Source organism: Homo sapiens, chromosome 21 (assembly GCF_000001405.40).
Source record: "Homo sapiens chromosome 21, GRCh38.p14 Primary Assembly".
Taxonomy (NCBI): Eukaryota; Metazoa; Chordata; class Mammalia; order Primates; family Hominidae; genus Homo; species Homo sapiens.
The window spans coordinates 32,628,032-32,650,162 of record NC_000021.9 but is presented as its reverse complement, the minus strand read 5'-3'; the positions used below and the strand labels follow the sequence as shown (position 1 = coordinate 32,650,162).

General features: G+C 38.2%; 1 protein-coding gene across 24 annotated transcripts in view; it reads left to right on the top strand.

Moving 5' to 3' along the window:
- The window catches only part of SYNJ1 (synaptojanin 1), a 99,636-nt gene extending 78,232 nt beyond the window's left edge, over nucleotides 1-21,404 (top strand). For 5 of the 24 annotated variants that reach the window (XM_047441038.1, XM_017028499.3, XM_047441037.1 and 2 more), the window contains 6 exons: nucleotides 3,561-3,770; nucleotides 4,374-4,517; nucleotides 8,197-8,267; nucleotides 10,384-10,492; nucleotides 11,038-11,255; nucleotides 18,362-21,404. In XM_047441038.1, coding sequence (XP_047296994.1) covers nucleotides 3,561-3,770; nucleotides 4,374-4,517; nucleotides 8,197-8,267; nucleotides 10,384-10,492; nucleotides 11,038-11,255; nucleotides 18,362-19,168 — 1,559 coding nt within the window. In that variant the 3' untranslated portion in view covers nucleotides 19,169-21,404. Of the gene's footprint in view, nucleotides 1-3,560; nucleotides 3,771-4,373; nucleotides 4,518-5,156; nucleotides 5,196-6,705; nucleotides 6,754-8,029; nucleotides 8,069-8,196; nucleotides 8,268-10,383; nucleotides 10,493-11,037; nucleotides 11,256-15,278; nucleotides 15,306-18,342 lie in introns of those variants that run through there. The other 19 variants (XM_047441045.1, XM_047441044.1, XM_047441049.1 and 16 more) reach the window with 11 other exon arrangements.

Here is a 22,131-nt window from a genome sequence, read left to right as displayed (position 1 = left end):
ACTTCTTGTAGTTCTAGATATGTTTTCTTCCAATCTGTAAAGTCTTATTTTCCAAGTTCATCTTTCTTCTTCTTCTTGGGACGTACATAGCACTATTAATTAGAATGTATTTTGGCCAGGTGCGGCAGCTCATGCCTGCAATCACAGCACTTTGGGAGGCTGAGGAGGGTGGATTGCCTGAGGCCAGGAGTTCAAGACCAGCCTGTCCAACATGGCGAAACCCTGTCTCTACTAAAAGTACAAAATTTAGCTGGGCGTGGTGGTGCATGCCTGTAATCCCAGCTACTCAGGAGGCTGAGGCAGGAGAATCGCATGAACCCAGGAGGCAGAGGTTGCAGTGAGCCGAGATTGTGCCACTGCACTCCAGCCTGGGCAACAGAGCGAGGCTGTCTCAAAACAAAACAAAACAAAACAAATTTATTTCACATCATATTGTGTTTATTTTGCGTATACTTTAAATGTATTTACCATTCTTCCATTCAAATATTAAGACCTTTACAAATGTTAATTTATATTCTTATTGGATAAATACCCAAATTAGTATTGTTGGTGTATGGTTTAGTCCCAATAATTAAAGTTGAGGTAAAAAAGTAGAAGTTCCAAAAGGGTATTCTAAGAACAGAAATGAATTTAAGTAATTACGCCGAAAATTTCCTTAAACATGATTTAAAAATGCATTTGTTTGATGGCAACATTATCAAAAGAAAAAATTTTTAAATGCATTTGTTTTCTAACACAATATGCTATTCTAGCCAGTTTTTCATTAAAATGCATACCTTAGATTATAATAATATTGTAATGCCCTGTATAGCTAGGTACCACATTTAAGAGTTGAACGTCTTACAAGGTTATCTCATTTTCACATTATCTGTTCATTTGTTTACTCAGTCCACACATATTTATGTAGTACCTTTATGCCAGATACAGCTGGGTGCTGGAGATTCGACAGCTGTGGTTCTTGCCTTTCCAGAACTCATAGCTTATTGGGTGTTACGTGTAAGTAAGCAGGCAATTATAATAAAGTGACATAAATGTGATAATGAATGGTTTTGTGGTAGCTCATGGGAAAGTTGCTTAACCTGGATTTGGGAAATTGGGCAAGCTTTCCCAGAGGAATTGAAATTTAAGTTGAGAATCCAAAGACTCAGGGAGAATGGAATTAATGCTATAGAGGAGTGATCCAAGAAGAAAGCATGTGCACAGTCTAAGTGGGGATAAAGAGGATCCAAATGGATTATGGAGGGATGTTTGTGAGGGAGTAAATGAAGAAAAGAAATGCAGAGAGAGAAGTAGGTGTGGGATGGAAGATGAATTTTGTTTCGGATATGTTGAATTTGAGATGTTCATGGAGTCAGTCAAACATGAGTCTGGTGCTCAGGAAAGAGCTCTGGAGTCAAGGCAGCTCTAATAGCCTGCAAAGCATGGGCATTTGTTAATATAACTTTGGCCAATAGGATTATGACGAGACAGAAGAGAATGAATCGAATATGGAGAAATACAGACCTGGGATTGAGTATGTGGAAACACAGAGTTTAAATATAGACAGAAGAAGGCTGCCCGTGAAAAGAAAATGAGAAGAAACAATGGCAATTGTTTCTAGAAATGTCAAAGAGCCAAGAGAAATTCATGGCTTAAAAATCAAGGAAAGAAAGTGGAGCATGGAAGGGGAGTAGTCAGTGGTGTCTTGTAACACAGAAAGATGAGAAGAAATGAGGACAGAAATGTGTCCTTCTGATTTAATAACAGGAAGGGAAGCTGTTGTTGACATTTCATGAGAGTGATCTCAGAAGTGATGAAGTCAGATAGTGGTAAATTGATATGGATGGAAGGTGAAGAAGTGGAGAAAAGTGTCTGTAGACAACTCTTTAAGAAAGTTTGGGGGGAAAGAGAAGAGGGCAATTGCTCTAGGAAGATTGGAGGTCCTAGGGTGGTGGTTTTGGATGGGACAGGCTTGAGAATGCACAGTGCTAATGGAAAAGTAGAGGAGAAAGGGCTGATGGTTTGGGGGAAGGGCAAGGCAGAATAGTAGAGCAGTGTCACTGAGAAAATTAGGCTGGGTGGGGCCCATTTGTTCCATCCTCAGATACCCAAGTGACAACCATGTAATGAGACTCCAGCTTGGGGGCAGGCTGTTGAAGTAGGGGTTCCCATCTTAAGACTTCCCTCTTCTCTGTGAAGTGTTGAAGTGATCTGCAGGAGTGGGACAGCTCACAGTTTCAGGAGGGTTAAGGAGTTTTGCAGTAAAGCTCCTGAAGAGCAAAGGGTGAGGGGAAGAGCAAACCAGCAAATCATGGAATTGCCAGGCACTTTAGGCCAGAAGAGACTGAAAAGCATAATTTCAAATGTGACTGCAGTTGTCAGGACTGGGTGGTTTTCTTTAGCAGAGGCAGTCAGCAATCCAAGTGTTATCACAGAAAGATTAAACAGGGGAATCAGTGCAGGGATGGGGTTATGTCAAGCACGTGCAATGGAAGAAGAGTGAAGTAGGGTAATGTTTGAGATGAAGAACCATAGAATCTGAAGGTAGGTACAGAAGAAAGCAGAATCAGATGGAGGTAAAAGTTAGAGGGATCAAACCCTGGCTTCTGAAGAAATCAAAAGAGAAGGAGTAGCCAAGGGAGAGAACTGAAAAGCTGGGAGGCCAAAGTCAGAGTGAAGCTTTTGAGTTTATTATTTCAGAAGAGTGCAGTTCTGAGGGGTGAGGGTTAGGAGTGAAGGCGAATGTCCATAAGGATAGGACCAAGGCATTTTGCTATTGAACGAGTTGTCCACATGGACTTTGATGCCACGCAGAAAGATGGTGCGGGACCTGACTTACAGTCTTGCTCTCTGCTTAGTCCTCAGTGAGTGGGTTCAGGAAATGGAAGAATGGACGTTGGAGATGACTGTAGCAAGTGGGGGTAGAGGATGTTACATAAATTCCTGATGGCATAGCCTCAGAGCAGTAGGACTTTTTGTTCAGGGTTGGAAGACTAATGTTCTGGAATGGCAGTTAGGTTGCAAGGGTTACCTTGTGCCCACTTTCCTACCCAGAAGTAAGTGGAGATGAGGAGACCCTGGGGGAGAACCAGTGTTTACTTAATTAAAGCAAAGCGGGTCTTTGTGGGGTGAGGGTTGCAGGGAGGAGCCTTCTGGGGGAAGACTGTGTGGCTCCTGAGAGCTTGTTGACTCTGAGGCTGGACCTGGGTTAGGCAAGGGAGTGGGGCAGTTCCACAGAGCACAGTGGACAGGTTTGGAAGGAGAGCAGGAAACTTGAGTTGGCTTGCACTGGAGAAGCTGCTCTGGGGCATATTGAAAGCCCATTGGGTCACCCCAGCTCCAAGTGGTTGGTCACCTGACATCTTATTGCTCAGAGACAATAGATACCTTTACATCTTCTGAAACAAGCATTTCTACTAATTGTGGTTTTATACATGCCTTCATGCTTAATCCATGTGTGTTTGCAATGACATAATGTTCATATTTGTTTTGTGTATTTTAACTTTTTAAAACCTAAGGTGAAAAAAATCTCTGAGCAAGTTAAAATGGAGTTATCTCTGATCAAGCCTGCTTTTCCTTAGGTGATGTTGATGACTATAGTGCTGAAGTGGAGGAACTTCTTCCTCAGCATCTCCAGCCATCTTCAAGTTCCGGCCTTGGTACTTCCCCCAGCTCTTCACCCCGAACTAGTCCCTGCCAGTCACCTACAATATCAGAGGGTCCTGTACCTTCCCTTCCCATCAGACCAAGCCGAGCACCGTCAAGAACTCCTGGGCCTCCCAGTGCACAGAGTATGCATTTTATTTGAAAGTTTTGTATGGCTTCCTGTGGCCAATGTGCTTGATGTTGGAGAGTCATCGTTTAAGTTTCATACCTAGGTGATAAAGTGCACCCTGTTTTCTCCGGTACAGAATAGGAAAACTTGTAGATGATAAGCTCTCAATGGAAAGGAAACTTGCTATAACTGTCACTAGATGACAATTGTTCTTAATCTTTTTTCTATGTGGTTAGGTTTGTCTATGTCTTATAACTGATGATTTTCTATGGTATGAACCCGTTAACTATTTGAGCTTTTTCTTCTCTCTACTGGCCAGACTACAAAATGGCTTAACTCAAACAATACTTTGTGCATATCAATAGGGCCACTTAGTAAATTAGCTTTCAGCACCTGAGGCCTAGGTAAGAAGTCAGCACAGAGGTAGCATTATTGCTGCCATGGTACCAAAGGGCAGTTTAATAGTAGACTGCTTTTGTTATTCATACTGAAAATACATGCCCTTTCTTTACACCATTGTGCACATTTTATAGAACATTACACATATATATGAAGGACTGTTCCCTTCTGTCAACAGCTACTTAGAAGCTGATCTTCTTACCTCCTGTGCGCTTTTTAGGTTCTCCTATTGACGCGCAGCCAGCAACGCCGCTGCCGCAGAAAGACCCCGCCCAGCCCTTGGAGCCCAAGCGGCCGCCGCCGCCCCGCCCGGTCGCCCCTCCCACACGCCCGGCTCCCCCACAGAGACCTCCTCCGCCTTCAGGTGACAACCTTTTATTTCCATTTCTGCTAGATGTAAAATTCTTCACTCTATTTTAAAATGTTTTGCATGTTTTCCAATCTCTAGCTTCTGGATTTTACAGTTTTTTCTATCATTATTGCTATTTCTTAGCTTTTCTCTAAAGAACATGGTAGGCGCAACAGACAAGGTAGAGTGTTTGCAGAGTAGATTCCTCTAAGGTGTTTTCACAGCTGCCTTTAGCTGCCTTCTCACCAGCCAGCCAGAGAGGTTTATTTTGTTTTTGCTAATTTGATCTAGTTAGGCATGTAAACTGTTCTTAGGTAAAATTAGGTTTAATTTTTTTCAAAATCCTCATTTCTGGATGATTTATAAGCATAAAATAATTAAAATGTACTAATTTCTGTAAAAGTATAATAAAACTGGAGAGCATACGTATTAATGTACAATTGTATGTATTTGTTTAATGTTCTTTTAAATTAAATATAGTGCTGTTACTTCAATTATAAGCATATGCATTGAATAATAGTTTTTGTAGTACGTAGATAATATGTAATTCCTGCATGATACTTGATGTCATGGATACTATAGCAATCTTTGACATTTCACTTCTGTATTTAATGTCATTTCCTTTCTGCTGCCTATTTTCTTATGAACTATAAGGGGCTAGGAGTCCTGCACCCACTAGAAAGGAATTTGGAGGTAACCATTTACATTTGTTAGCATGTGTGAATCGTGGTTCATTAATGTTTTACACCTGAAAGACATTTTAGATTTGTTTGATAAAAGTCAAAATGAATGACATTCTAGTTTAAAACTAATCCACAAATAAAACTAATAAAGGCTTTCATTTCCCAGGTAGGCTGGGATTGTTCATCAGGCCTAATTTTTTTTTTAATAAATGTGGTCGATTCATTTACAAAGATTTAATACCCAAAAGTTATATTAATTTTAAAAGTCATTCAGGTACAGTAAATACAGAACATTTCCCAAGTATCTGATTAGTGATACATTTATTTTCTAGTGGAAAAGCTTTTGGATTAGCAAAGAACTGTATGATTTTCTTTTCCTTTCTTCATAAGGAAATTTTTATTCACAAAGGGTCACTTTTTGTTTGAAGTATAGTTTATTTGGTTTACATGAAAACTCACAGAGCTCAGTTGGAGTTATACATTTGACAAGTTTATTTAATCTAAATCTCAAGAAAAGATGAGATGAGTTTTCACAATTCCTCAGAAGAACTTTTACAAATCCAGTGTTACTAAGGCTCACTGTGCATGTGTAGCCTGGTCTGTTTCTATTGTAGCTTGCCTAGTGACATGGCTGAGCAATTCAGGTCTTACTACAGACTGACTTTGCCTGTGTGTAGATCTTAATGACTGCGTGTGATAAGAATAGCTAAATTATTTCAGCATTACAGCTTCTGCCGAATACAGCTAAGTGATCATTTCTCCATTGACCTACAGAAAACATTTAATTTTTCCCTTTTCAAGCTCCTGCTTTTATAGAAAACATTTAATTTTTCCCTTTTCAAGCTCCTGCTTTTATTTAAATTTCCATGATAATTTTTGCTTATCTTCTGCTTTAATTAGGAAAACATCCTGTAGAAAATAAATTTAAAATGAATCTGTCAAAAGTTAGGCAAGCCAGTGGATTACAGTGAAATCTGTCTTAATTTTAAAAATTGCTCCCCTTCATAATTCTTTTGTAAGTAGTGTTTGCAACATGTTTTTTCATCCTATAAACAATAATTCCTTTACGTCATTATAGTACATTAGAGTTTTTAAAATTAATGCATCAAAAACTAACTTCAAAAGACTTACGTAGTCTCATAGAAATTTATGATTTCTTTCCTTTTGACTATCAAATATCAGAGTTTTTACTTGCTCTGGATATAAGGAGTAAGATGATTTTTAAAGCAAAGGTCTTCATTAAACATATTTTTTAAATTCCCTACTGGTAGTAATTGCATACATAAAAAGAAAACTGTCATCCTGTTTCTACTCTTCTGTTTGAGTAAAGGGAGGATTCAGATTTGGGCCAAGCATCTAAAGTCACTTTGGTTTGTATTGATATCTTTGAAGAAATTTAAAGCAATAAAAGAGCCTTTTTGCAAAAGTGAGTTTACTATGGAAATTGTCTTGTGTGCCTGCCTTTCATTCTGTGCTGTGGGCCCTGAACAATATATAGTTTCTGTTCTTTCTCTAAAAAGGTATTGGAGCCCCTCCCAGTCCTGGGGTAGCTAGGAGAGAGATGGAAGGTAACAAGACTCTTGCATTATAGAAGTGGTTCTCTCATTTTATTTCTCAGTGTCAGCGCCCCACCTCCCCACCCCGCAGTGTTTGCAGGCATACTAAATCTTTTCTTGGTCCAGCTGTAAACTTCTCTTTCCCCTCCTTATGTATACCTTGTATTTTTTCCTCTCTTCATTCTATGTCACCTATAGTTTCTAATGGATATCCATTTAATTTCCCTGAGATCCTTAATGTTGTTTGTACTCTGTTTCATATATAGTTTATATATGCCCAGGTTGTGAAATTACTGTTTAAGAATGTCTTCAAAATTCTTTTCAGAATAAGTAAAATATTTAGAAATGTACTTTACTAATCTGAAGTTTTAAAAATTAATGATTATAATTAAACCCTATTAATTCAGATCCAAGAATATAGTATTTTGTAGTTGATTTCAGATAACATAGCTATTTTATAGATTAGCACTGAGCCAGATTTGTTTAAAAGACCTTTAAGACTAGAGGCCATTTGTTATGATTTTAGTTATTAAAAGGCTGATGTATTTCTTATAACAATTGTACTTGAATTTCTTTACAAAAAGGAGAGTTTATTTAAGATGCTGCCCTTGATAGTCACTCCTACTCCTTTTGGCTCCAAGAGTAATTTATTTCATTTTATCCTTCAGCTACCTTTCTAATGAGTTTGAACATATTTTTAACACTGTCTTCCATAAGGCAGATATTTGGTAATAACATATGCCTGTCTTCTGTCTTAATGATGGGATTTTGTTATAGAAATCCGAAAGATCTCATCATAAGATAACCTTATCCACAGTGACATCTACAGCGTGAAGCCCTAAAGTATTGCTACTAGGAGCCTCTTGTGTAATTTGACAAATGCAGTCCTGTCTGTTGCTCAGAAGCCACTTGTCTGCCAGACTCTAAGGGGCAGCAGTGCCGCATCTTGTGACCATTCACACAGCTGACTGTATGTTTTCAAGGTTCACGAGAGAGTTCTATGGGGAATGCCACCCTAAAAGTGGTCCCATGAGTGAGATATCAAACTAAAGTCACCACTTGTCTCCCATAAAGGTCTATCTAAATATTGTAATTTTTCTCTCTTTTGGAGTATTTCATTCAGGACTGATAATACCCTTCATCATTATACAAAGCAAAGTGCTTTGTTTTGTTACCATCTCATGCCCCCATTTCTGCTGGTAATGAAGCAGAACAGCAAGCTGATGTTATGCAATATTGCTTAATTGTTAACTTACAACTAATTTTTTTTTCCCTTCTTGCTTCAAAGCACCCAAAAGCCCTGGAACAACAAGGAAAGATAATATAGGTAAAAACACTTGAATGTAGCTATTCACCCTTAAAACTGGACCGTGAAATAGACACTTGGAATATAAGTACATGGTTTCTTGTTTATTTTTTTAAACTTAAATATATGATATGATGTCTTTGTTCCAGGACGCAGTCAGCCTTCACCTCAAGCAGGACTTGCAGGCCCAGGACCTGCTGGATACAGTACAGCCAGACCGGTAGGTAAAACCTCGCCTGGGGCCAAGGGGTCTCGGTTCTAAGTCCTGTTTACTACTAGTCAGTTTTGTTACCTTGGAGAAATCATGTGACCCTTCAAGGCCTCAATTTCCTCATCTCTAAAATGAGGGAATTGCACTTGATGATCTTCCGACTCTAACATTATTTTAACATACTCTTCAAAAATAACAAACTTCATTATTTGGATAAAAGTGATACACTTAAAACAATTATGGTCACTAAATAAATATCTTAAGAGTCTCAGTATATGAGGAAATGATGGATTTGGGCAGCTTTTTATCATTTTACCTGAGTAATTAATGAAGATATAAAGTAATCCTTCATTAAAAAGGATTTTAATTACATTTCAGAAAAAAAAATGATAAATTCAGTATAGTAAAACTGGTTCTAAAGGTTTTTTTCTCTTTTTGGTTTTTTTCTTGATCAGGTTCATCATATTCCGTAAAGGTATTAGAAATAGGAGAGTAGATGTTGTTACAGGATTTTTCCCTACCTGATGAATGTGTCTTTTCTGTATGTTTATATGTTCTCTTATACACATAGGTTTTTTATTATTTGAAAACTTTCTCTGGACTATAACAGGTAATCAAGAACAGAGAGAAAGAGCAAATAGAAACCAGTAATCAGTGACTTAGGCTAGTCCAGTAGGAGCTGGGACTACTGAGAGGCCCATATCTGAAGAGTAGGAAACTGAGAGCTATTACTGTACCTAGAAATTAAGATTATTAAGATTGTGAGAACTGAGGAAACCACTTCCTATGAAGATAGAAGCTTTTTGTCTTTTCTGTTGTAGCTGTCCACTTAACAATCTGAAGGTTCTTTTTTATATGTAATATTACTCTTCAAATATTTATCCTCCTTTTTTCAAAAAAAGGGAAATTTGCCATTCACTGATCCCATGACCACACTTGGCACAAGAACTTTCTTGATTCTGTTGAATACCATAAGTATAGGAAAAGAAAGTCAGGATTTTTGTGAGTTTAAAAGTTCATATTTTGCTTAAAATAAATATTGTTAGCTTAGATCCTTCAGCAAACATATGAAAATAGAAAAAATATTTTTCACTGATGAGTCTTTCAGTGTATTTAATTCGGAATATTGAGTTAGTCATTCAAAAGTTGTACTTCTGTGTTTAAAAGCAATATATATGGCTGGGTGGCAGTGGCATGCACCTGTAGTCCCAGCTACGCAGGGGACTACATTGGAAAGATCGCTTGAACCCAGGAGTTCAAGTCTAGCTGGAGCAACATAGCAAGACCCCATCTCTTAAAAAACAAATCTTGACCAGGTACGGTGGCTCACGCCTGTGGTCCCAGCACTTTGGGAGGCCGAGGCGGGTGGATCATGATGTCAGGAGATCGAGACCATCCTGGCCAACATGGTGAAACCCCATCTGTACTAAAAATACAAAAAATTAGCCGCGTGTGGTGGCGGGCGCCTGTAGTCCCAGCTACTCGGAAGGCTGAGGCAGGAAAGTGCCAGAACCCAGGAGGCAGAGGTTGCAGTGAGCAGAGATTGTGCCACTGCACTCCCGTCTGGCCACAGAGTGAGACTCCATCTCAAAAAAAAACCAAAAAAAAAACAAATCTCAGGGTGTTTTTTCCCCAAAGTCTCCTAGTTGCTCAGGTATGTATCTCTCTATCTCCTTGTATATTTTAAAATCATCCCAGTTTTCCCCATAAAGACAGCATTGCACATGGTTAAGAACCCTAGCCCTGCAGCCAGTCAGACCTGAGTTTGGATCCTGGCTCTGCTTTCTGTGTGGCTTTGGGCAAGTTGTATATATTTCTTCATCTTAATTTAAAATAGAGATGATAAAATAATACCTACTTCTGAGGGATATTTTGAAGATGAAATGGAAATGCCTGTACAGTACTTAATTAACATAATGTCTGGCACATAGTAAATAGTCAGAAGTAAACAGGAAGATTTTAAAATTCATCATTATAATGGCTTCAAGTAGAGAGCACTTAAAATGACAAATTAGGGACTAATACCATAGAAGAAAGTAAATGAGATGCAAAAGCAAATGTTTTCACAGAATTTTACCTGTGGAAGGTAAGTAAATGTCTCAAGTGTTATGTTTCCTATCTGTAGACGATTCCTCCTCGTGCTGGAGTTATCAGTGCCCCACAGAGCCACGCGCGGGCATCTGCTGGAAGACTGACTCCTGAAAGCCAAAGCAAAACATCAGAAACGTCGAAAGGTAGGTCCTCTTTGGGAGGCTGAGGCAGGAGGATCACTTGAGCCCAGAAATTTGAGACCAGCTTGGGCAACATAGTGAGACCCGCCTGTAAAAAAATTAAAAACTCTTAAAATTAGCCAGGGGTGATGGCACATGCCTGTGGTCCCAGCTACTCGGGCGGCTAAGGTGGGAGGATCACTTGAGCCTGGGAGGTTGAGACTGTGGTAAGCCGTGATCACACCACTGCACTCCAGCCTGGGCAAAAGAACAAGACCCTGTCTCAAAAATCAAAAATTTTTAAAAATTGAGAGAAAAGAAAGGTAGATACTATATTAGAAATACTGTACTGGTTTTGTTGTATATTTTTCTCTTTTTCCTTCTGTCATCTCCCACCTTCTACAACATATATTCAGATAGCTATATCCTTCCTTCATTATACCACAAGAAATGAGGCTACTTATTGGGGGAAGAAATAACTAGAATGTTCTCCTAACATTTCACTAAAGAAGGAAAAAAACATGGTTTTCTAGAATATACCTAACATCTGACAACCACTGGTTTTTTAGGTTCAACTTTCCTTCCTGAACCACTGAAGCCTCAGGCTGCTTTTCCTCCGCAGTCTTCTTTGCCCCCGCCTGCTCAAAGGTTGCAAGAGCCTCTTGTCCCTGTGGCAGCACCTATGCCTCAGTCTGGCCCCCAGCCAAATTTGGAAACCCCACCACAACCACCACCTCGAAGCAGGTCATCCCATAGCTTGCCTTCAGAAGCTTCCTCACAACCGCAAGTAAGTCTCATTTGTTACACAAAATATTATCTTTGATGCATATGATTTAGTCTTTGAACATACCTATTTTAATTATTGCCTGTTATAAGAAGTAAAAATAAATACGAGTTTTAATTTTCTTTTTATATTTGTTATTATACATATATATGTGTATATATATATATATGTTTGGGTTTTTTGTTGTTGTTTGTGTGTTTGTTTTTTCCTTTTTAAGACGAAGTCTTGCTCTGTCTCCCAGGCTGGAGTGAAGTGGCATGATCTCCGCTCACTGCAACCTCCGCCTCCCGGGTTCAAGCGATTCTCCTGCCTCAGCCTCCTGAGTAGCTGGGATTACAGGTGCCTGCCACCATGCCCGGCTAATTTTTATATTTTTGGTAGAGACAGGGTTTCACCATGTTAGCCAGGCTGGTCTTGAACTCCTGACCTCAGGCAATCTGCCCACCTCAGTCTCCCAAAGTGCTGGGATTACAGGCGTGAGCCACCATGCCCAGCCTACTCTGAATTTTCAAAGTGATCTTTCCTTAAAAGTATCTCATTAAACTCTTTTGAAAAAACTGTGAGATGAGTGAACCCTAACACTTTGGAAGGCTGAGGTGGGCAGATCCCTTGAGCCTGCAAGTTCAAGACCAGCCTGGGCAACATAGAGAAACCTTGTCTCTACAAATTAAAGAACTATCCAGGTGTTGTGCCATGCACCTGTGGTCCTGGCTACTTGGGAGTCTGAGGTGGGAGGATTACTTGAGCCCAGGACATCAAGGCTGCAGTGAGCCATGATCGCTCCACTGCATTCCAGCCTGGTGACACAGTGAGACCCTGTACCTCCAAAAATAATAATAAATAAATAAAAAGTCTTCTTTTACACTTTGGAAAGATCTGAAATACAGAAATAATACGTATTGGCAATGTCCCTTTAACACATTTATAAGTAATAGTTTACATTTATTTTTACAGATATATAGGTATGTCCAGCTAGTTGGCAGAAGTGAGCAGTTTCTTAAGTGTCTACAGGGTGAAAACAGATATTAAAGTAAATATGATTCAATACAATATGAATAAAGTTAGCAGTTAGCATTTATTAAGTCACATTTGTAAAAGTTGAAGGATATATAATACAGAAAAATAAATGTTCCCTTAAGCTGGTTAATACCAAAAAGAATTCTATATTTTTTTAGTTTAGAAAATTGAGGATGAAGTCTGGGAGCGGTGGCTCATGCCTGTAATCCCAGCACTTTGGGAGGCCATGGCGGGTCGATCGCCTGAGGTCAGGAATTCAAGACCAGCCTGACCAATATGGTGAAACCCTGTCTCTTTTGTTTTGTAAAAATACAAAAATTACCCAGGCATGGTGGTGTGCGCCTGTAGTCCCAGCTACTCAGGAGGCTGAGACAGGAGAATTGGTTGAACCTGCGAGGTGGAGGTTGCAGTGAGCTGAGATCGCACCACTGCACTCCAGCCTGGGTGACAGAGCGAGACTCCATCTCAAAAAAAAAAAAAAAAAAAAGAAAAAAGAAAAATTGAGGATGGTGAAAATATATAATAATGGTAGAACTCTTTCAAATAATGATTTTTTTTTTCTGCTAATCCATTTTTAGTGAATCGTGAATTTTTCTTATTTTCTTGTATACTCTTTTGTAGTTTTTAAAATGTAATTGAAGGGCAAAAAACTTTTTCAACTAGCCACTCTGAGCTTTCTAGGACTGTTTTAGGGCATCCATCTCATTGTAGTTGCGTGCCATAATTACTAAAACTCTGATGGTTTAAGTGTCCTTAGACCAATACAAAAGTAGATAAAGTACTCTGAAAAACTTCCGGAGGTGCAAACTGTTAGCTGAGATTGTAGTTATCATTATAAAATCATTCTAAGACACATATCATTTTCTCAGAAAACTTTCCATTGTTTTATGTTTTTCATTGAAGTGAGTATAGCGATTTGGTGGCCGACGGGCACATGCTTTGTGTGTGCCCCCTTAGATTGTGTTCTTGAATCTCATGGTTGTCAGTTCATCAAAAAGACAAAGATATTTGTTTCAAATCCTGAAGTATCTTTTTGCCTCAGTCATTGATATCAAACTCCTTAATATTAGATACACAGACACACTTTTCTTTCTTGGAGGGTGGGGTCTTGTTTACATGCAGAGTGTCATTGTGAGGGATCACAAAGTGGTTACAGTTTCCTCCAGGGAATGCCCAATGCTGGGGGCCAGGAGGCAGGTGAGGAGGAGTCTTTCTATCTTTTTGTACCTTTTGAATTTTGAACCGTAAAATAATGCCTATTTTAAAAATAATAAAAAAAATTTTAAATTATTGGAAGTAGCTGTTAAGTTGAACAATTTACAAGATTTTCAAACCTGATGGTGAGATTTTTAAATATGACAAGTTTGATATTTTGTAATGACATGAAATAGTTTTAGAATTGAACATTTGTAATTTTTACAAGTCTTTACTTATCCTATTCCAAATCTACAAGGTATTTAAAACATAATGTATATGACCCAGTTTTACTTTTTATTATTTATCCTTTGACTTTATAATTTTGTATAGAAGAGATTCATTTAATTCGAGTGATTATATAACATGTTATACGTCCTTTACAAAGTATAAAAAATCCTCACTTATCTATCTGACTTCTAGCATCTTAGTCATCTTTATCAGCTGAGAGCCAGAAATAAGGAAATGCAACTGGAAGTAAAGGAACCGAACTCACTGCTATACTGTTACTGTGAGACCTGGTAGAAAAATCACAGCATTCTAGACCCATTTAATGGAGGATACAGCAACCTTGTACCTCTCAGTATAAACCTATTCCTGATCTCCTGTCCACTGCCAGAGCTGATACATAAAACTCTGAGTGTTAAATAAGAGTCTCATGTTTACTAGGCAGGAAATTCTAAAGTACTTAATATATTTCTGGGTGATGTCTCTGAATTGTCAAAATTAGTTTTGCTATTTAGTAATAGGTTTAGATATTGGAGAAGATTTACCTCAAAACTTGCTTGAGGATACTAGATTTTAAAAAATAATGGTATATTATAGAGGGATTATGATTTCATTTTTAAACAAAGGTAAATTCCAAATTTCTTGTAAGGTACAAGTTTCTTGTACCTTCCAACTAATACATTATGAAGTAAATTAATGATATTAAGAGTATCATCCTTCAGAAAATTTGAGTAAGATAAAACAAGCTGGATGAGTACTAATTTTCAGTAGGGTAGTCTTTTTGCAAAATAGTATGTACCAAAAATGGTACCATTTTGTACCATTACATTGCCATTTTCTCTAATAATGACATCCCTAGGCTATCCTAAGGCTGTGTCTTAGTCTGCTTGGGTTGACATATGAAATACCATAGACTGGGTGGCTTACACAACAGAAATTTATTTTCTCACAGTTTTGGAGGCTGGAAGTCTGAGATCAGGGTGCCAGCATGGTTGAGTTCTGGTGAGGGCACTCTTTGTGGTGTGCTGACAGCCACCTTCTCACTGTGTGTTCACACAGCCTCATTGCATGTGGTGCCTGGAATGAGAGCATGCACACACCCTTGCACACGCTCTCTGGTGTCTCTTCTCATAAGGACACTGATTCCATCATGGGGTCCCACCTTCATGACCTCATCTAACTCTAATTACCTCCTAGTGGCCCCACCTCCAAATACCATCACACAGGGGCTTATGGAATCAACATATGAATTTGGGAGGGGAGAGCACACAAATATTCAGTCCATAACAGGTTGCTTAAAATATTTTAGAACTCTGAAATCATTTGGAGTATTATTTTTGGAATAACAAAACTGAACTGGTTAGTAATCAACCTCAGACAAAACTAAAGTCTGGACCCTAATTCAACAAAATTATAAAAGGAATTGGAATTGTCTTTTGAATTTATGTTACAACCTGCAAATATTGCTGCTCTTGGGTTCTGTCTGTAACTTAGAAAGCATTTTGTTGACTGAATTGTTAGGGTTGCTGGTTGATCTCGGATTGTCCTCCTAACTCTTTCCTTTGATGTCTGTTTCCTTTCTCAAAGCAGGAGCAACCATCAGGGTAACAGGTATCTGACAATTTATCAATCTTACATGTGTTTTCATCCGTCTCAACACATTAGATGTATGAATCTCTGCTTCATACATCTAAAGTTTCACCCATTTTTAAAACCACCTGTCTCCATTAATAAATTCTATCATACCATAAAACCTGCTTTTTCTTTTTCTTAGTATTTTGGATTTTAGGAACCATGTAGTTGTTCTTGCTAATGCTTTACCACTTTTTGCTTCATTTTTTTATGAAAATTAACAAAACTAAAAAGTGTAACTTCAAGAAAGTAAGATTTAGGTATATGAAGGCCTTTTTGGCAAAACCAGATCGGTTCTTGGTTTTAACAATGGCATTTATGTAATTACATAAACACAAAATTCAGTATGTTTTTTAGGAAAAAATATTTGGGGGAAATATTTTTTCAAATGGTTTTAGTAGCAAGATTGTTATTGGTAAGGAAGAATTGATGGTTTAGAAAGATGAAAGTTACCAGTATAACAAGATTATCTAAAGGTCCTTCCAACACCTTTCTCTGTAAAAATAGCACCAATTTTAATATTGTCATCACAAATCCTGCTTAGATTACAAATTAATTCTAATGTGATGAATGGTGATGTGGTTGTCATTGTAATTTCAAGTCTGGGAAAAATGATCCTGATTCTATCAAATTAACTTATTTTGAAATAAAAATTTTCTTATATATGCAAATAAAGGTGTTTAAATGTATAGCACTGATGCAGCAGGTGACTTCTGTTCTAAGCTGGCAGAGCACAAAATTCTCCTTTCCTATAATGTCTGTGTTGCAGACGATTCTATCTGCCATAGGAGAATTTTGTCTCAGACAGAAGTATTTCATTTTGTATTAACTATAAATAGTCCAGAGATTTTTGGTAATATAGAGTTAATTTTATAATATCTATATAAATTTCCTTTTAAGTACATTTCCACATATAGGTCTACTTACCTAAGACATTTAGAGTACAGTTTAAAGTCTGTGACATGTTTTCTCTTTAGTTTTGTACAAATTTATCACACTAAGTTTGAAGAAAAATATACTGTTTCAACCAATTATAAAGCATATTCTAGGATAGTTGAATAAAACAGATACTTGAAAGTTATTCACTTAAGTCATCCATTTCCTTTTACAAGTGAACATCCTTCCATATTCTTAAGCAGTAACTAAGTGTTTCATAGTATGCAGTTACATTTTATTGAGACTGCTGCTGTTTTTTTCCAATATATTTCATGAAAGTATAGTTATGTTGCTTTAACAACTATCCAAATTCCTTTTGGGCAGTGCTCATTTTATTACATTGCCAGTCTTGAACTGAATTTTTTTTTGCCCTATCGTATCCAACCCTGAAGTTTTCTTAAGTTAGCATAAGTGTCCAAGTCATCTACCCTAGTTTTAAGAATTATATACATTTTTTTCAAAATTAATAATGTATGCCTGATAAGCTAATTTGCTTATGAGGCAAGAATCATAGTTCTTTTCCTTCATCCGATCATTTGTCTTTGCTCAGTCCCTTGGCTGTGCTCCACTCCAACCACCTTCTTTATGGAGTAGGGACCAAGGGATTTAGGGCAGGAGTGAAGGAATTCCAAGCACTCTTCCTACTGATAACAGTTCACAGCCAACTCTGTCACATAGAAGGGACCAGGCACCACTCTAGGCACATCATTGTGGTTGTAGACTTCATAAACCAAATAGAAAATGGAACTTTTTTTCCTCTGGTTTTAAGCAATGGTTGCATTTGGTTACTAATAGTGTATCTGTTTTGGAATATTTTTACAAGACAGGAGGGTCAATTTTTTTATGGAAAGTTGTCACATTACTCAGTTTTTGTTTTTTGTTTTTTGAGGCGGAGTTTTGCTCTTGCCCAAGCTGGAGTGCGGTGGTGCGATCTCAGCTCACTGCAACCTCTGCCTCCCAGGTTCAAGCAATTCTCCTTCCTCAGCCTCCTGAGTAGCTGGGATTATAGGCGCGCACCACCATGCCCAGCTAATTTTTTGTATTTTTAGTAGAGACAGGTTTCATTATGTTGGCCAGGCTGGTCTGGAACTCCTGACCTCAGGTGATCCACCTGCCTCAGCCTTACAAAGTGCAGGGATTATAGGCTTGAGCCACCGCGCCCAGCCTCACATTACTCAGTTTATTCAACAAAGGAGAGCTTACATTAAAAGTCAGCTGTGCCGGGCATGGTGGCTCACGCCTGTAATCCTGACACTTTGGGAGGCTAAGGTGGGCAGATTGCCTGCACTCAGGAGTTTGTGACCAGCCTGGGCAACATAGTGAAACCCCATCTGTACTAAAATACAAAAAATTAGCTAGACCTGGTGGCACACGCCTGTAGTCCCAGCTACTCAAGAGGCTGAGGCACAAGAATCACTTGAACCCGGGAGGTGGAGGTTGCAGTGAGCCAAAATCGTGCCATTGCACTCCAGCCTGGGTGACAGCACAAGACTTGGTCTCCAAAAAAAAAAAAAAGAGGGGGTGGGCAAAGAACTCTCAAAATTTATTTTTCCAAGTAGAAGACAGAAAGATGGAGTCTTCGTCTTAGGAATAAAATATGCTAATAGAATTAATTTTATCTATAAAATTGAATTTCCATAGTAACATTAATTTTAGAAAACACACTTAAAAGAACAATGAAACCACATCATCATCATAGATGGGTGTTAGAATTTTATTTATATAGATTTAGCATAAGTTATAAGTATGGATTTCTTAAGTTCATGCTGAAATGTGATAGAACTGGGCATGAACAAATTTGTTAATTCTGTACAATTCTCCTTCTTACCATTTCAAAACTTGCATGAATGAAATAAGCTCTTTGATTTTGAGGGATTTAAAAATGGATTTAATTAGAAAGGATTTATTTAGAAAGAAGTTTTTAAAGACTGTAGGTGTTTCATGTTATTTAAACCACCGGAGTAACAAACTACACAAAGCTACTTTTTAGTTTCTAAATTTACATGCTTGCCCCTAAAAGGGAAGAATAATTGAGACAGGAAGAATAGGGGGTATTAAGAGTAAATATAAACTGATTTTTCAGTGCTCCCTTTCTTTTGCAGGTAAAAACAAATGGAATCTCTGATGGCAAAAGAGAATCACCATTAAAGATTGACCCATTTGAAGATCTGTCATTTAATCTGCTTGCTGTATCAAAGGCTCAGCTATCTGTTCAAACGTCACCTGTTCCCACCCCAGACCCAAAGAGGTTGATTCAGTTGCCTTCTGCAACGCAAAGTAATGTTTTGAGTTCTGTAAGTTGCATGCCAACAATGCCTCCAATTCCAGCTCGGAGTCAATCCCAGGAAAATATGCGAAGTTCTCCAAACCCATTTATTACTGGCTTGACCAGGACAAATCCTTTCAGTGACAGGACTGCTGCTCCTGGAAACCCATTTAGAGCCAAGTCTGAAGAATCAGAGGCAACTTCATGGTTCTCCAAAGAAGAGCCCGTTACTATCAGTCCTTTCCCTTCTCTGCAGCCTCTTGGTCATAACAAAAGCAGGGCTTCATCTTCACTTGATGGCTTTAAGGACAGTTTTGATCTACAGGGCCAGTCTACATTAAAAATTAGCAACCCGAAAGGATGGGTAACCTTCGAGGAAGAAGAGGATTTTGGTGTGAAAGGGAAGTCAAAGTCAGCTTGTTCAGACTTACTGGGTAATCAGCCAAGTTCATTTTCTGGCTCCAACCTGACATTGAATGATGACTGGAATAAAGGTACAAATGTCTCCTTCTGTGTGTTGCCGTCAAGAAGACCTCCTCCACCTCCTGTCCCTCTGCTCCCGCCCGGCACCAGCCCTCCAGTAGATCCTTTCACGACCTTGGCCTCTAAGGCTTCACCCACACTGGACTTTACAGAAAGATAACGCCATGCAATAGAAAACAGTGGGTACTTGCTTTTGGCAGGATAGAGCTAAGAGAATTGGGCATTAGTATTTCATTATGTGCAATAAGTCATTGTAAGTGCACTGATATCTTCACAAAACACCACTATTTGATGTGTACAGAGTTGGACTATGTGTATATTGGAAATAAGGAAAAACCCTTCTCATTGTTAACTGGAGTTTTGATGTATTTCTCTTTGGATGAATAGGAGACAGTAGTAGCCATAAAAAGTACTTATACTTTAGAAAACAGTCCTTATTCAGAAACTTTTCGGTCAGTCTTCTGAAGAATCTCAAAAAGCCCACCCAACTTTCAGCTGACATTTCCACCAGCCCTCTCATACTTGTTAACAATTGGTATCTTTGAGTATTTACCAAAGAGCTGCCAAGGTTACAGTGAACAGAGTTTTGAAAGGCATTGCTTTAAAGGAAAAAAGTATAGGTATGTGTACATATATAATACATACAAACACATGTACTTCTGTATACATTTACATATTTTTACAATTCATACTTTAATTTCTAGGCTATAACTCAGACCAAATTATACCTAAAAGTTCCAACAAAGTCCCTTTTTCAATATCACATTACCAAAAAGATGGCTGCAAATGTAATTTGGACCTTTCATTAATTTTGTTTTCAAAACTAGAATAATCTCACCACAGAATCAGAATTTTCTACCGTTCCACACCCAACCCCTTCAAATACACACAACCTTGTTACTTTTCACTCCAGCACCTTCATACGCTTTTCTCCAGGAGGAGGTTCTTGCAGCTGGAAACAGCCTATTTTGTGGTCACTGTCAAGTGGATGGATATTCTAGCGCTCCCAAAAAAGCACTATGGCCTTATATGCAGGGAAGGCACATACCACCAAGTTCAATGAGAAATATTAGAGCTAACCGTACTCTCTTCTCTGCGTACGTTCGAGTATACGTTGCCCATATCCCTCCCATATTTTCTTTTTGCTGCTTTTGCTCTGGAACTTTGCTTTTAGCAGGGAAAGCAGCTGTCCCCTGAGTGCTTTGAATTGGGAATATACCCAGTGTGTGTTCTCCCCCCTCTTACGAGGCTACATAACACATCTATGATGCTGCTTTAAGTTTTTAGAGGCTATACCTCAAAGTAGCTGCGGATTTTGTCTCCTGCACTGCCAATATGCAACTGATCCCGCTTTTATTAATTTTTTGAAGAAGTACACAGAATTTTTACAGAATGTAGTATTTTGATATCATTAAGTAAACCAATCAGAAAACTCCTTGAGCAATAGTTGTTTCTTTGTCAGTTTCAGTTACAATCATCTTTACCCATTAAGACTTACATTAACATTCCTTTTATATAAAGAGTTGTATATGTCCACCTAAATTCCTATGTCCACACTTAACCTTTAAAGATGTACATTGAGGGAATATCAAAAAATAGCGTTCATGGCTACGAATATGTAGAATGTTAAAAGCACAGCAAACTGCACTGCACTTATAAAGCAAATCTATTAGAAAAAAAGCATTTTTCTAAATGCTCAAATGTTATCAAAATACTATATTTATAGAAGTAATCTTCTCTGTTAACAGCCAAGATTTGCTGTTAGAAATAACTCTTGTGAGTTTTATATTGTGCTTTTTGGAGGTTCTAATCATTTCAGCAGTAGCGTCTTAAACAGCAGTATTACTATAAGCAGTTGCTTCAAAATGTGAATTAACTTGTTGAAACTGTGGCTTTAACATCCATGTGACTAGTGTATATGGTATTTGCTCTCCATTAGCAAAATAATTCATTGTTAGGTAAACTTCACTAGTGCAAATTGCAGATCTGTGAGCAATGTTTCCTATTGAATATAAACTACTGTCTAAAATATACATATCAGCAGCCCAGCCTTTATCAGGAAAATTATACTTGGCAAGTTGCTGAAAATGCACAAAGTTATGAAAGTTAAAGGTATGCTGCAAATAACTAGCCATTATTCTATGTATTATTAAATATTTACTAGTTCTGTTAAAAGCAGAGCAGAAGTTAGACACTAAGGATCTCTTTGTGAACTCTGTGTTCTCTATATTAGATTGCTGTTTATATGTAAGAATTTTATTGCTTATGTGGCATACAATATTTATAACTATAAACTTTATAGAAGTACAGTATTAAAGTCAGTGGTACACAGACATTCTGTACATATCCTGTGAAACGTGCTGTCATATGAAATAAATATATCTGTCTTTACCATGCTGACTTCTTTGTTAGAAAGGGAAGAATTTTTCTCAGCCATTTTCCTTGTACTTTACATACACAAGTTTGGTGACGTTCAAACAAAATAAGCTTAACCCTTATTGCCGAATCAGATATTTTAATTCAAGACCTTATTTTCATTTCTCCAGATAGTGCTTCCTCTAAAACTAAGAAGATTTTCCGAGATTACTAATCATTATTAAAAAGTCCATGCCCAGCCTGGCCCACATGGTGAAACCCCATCTCTACTAAAAATATGAAAAAAAAATTAGTTGGGCGTGGTGGTGCAGGCCTGTAATCCCAGCTACTGGGGAGGCTGAGGCAGGAGAATCACTAGAACCTGGGAGGGAGAGGTTGCAGTGAGCCGAGATTGTGCCATTGCACTCCAGCCTGGGCGAGAAGAGCGAAACTCTGTTTCAAAAAAAAAAAAAAGTCCATGCACTTATTCCATAAGAGAGGCCCTCACGCAAAAACATGCTGACTTGAAAATAATACAAGAAATATGAATGATTTTTCTTACCCAAAGTAGAAGGAACAAGTGGGGGGCAAAGAGGAATTGGGACAAAAATAGCCAATCAGAAAAAGGGACTGCCTAAAGAGACCCAAATTAAAAGGCCAGGGCCGGGCGTGGTGGCTCACGCCTGTAATCCCAGCGCTTTGGGAGGCCGAGATGGGTGGATCATGAGGTCAGGAGTTCGAGACCAGCCTGACCAACATGGTGAAACC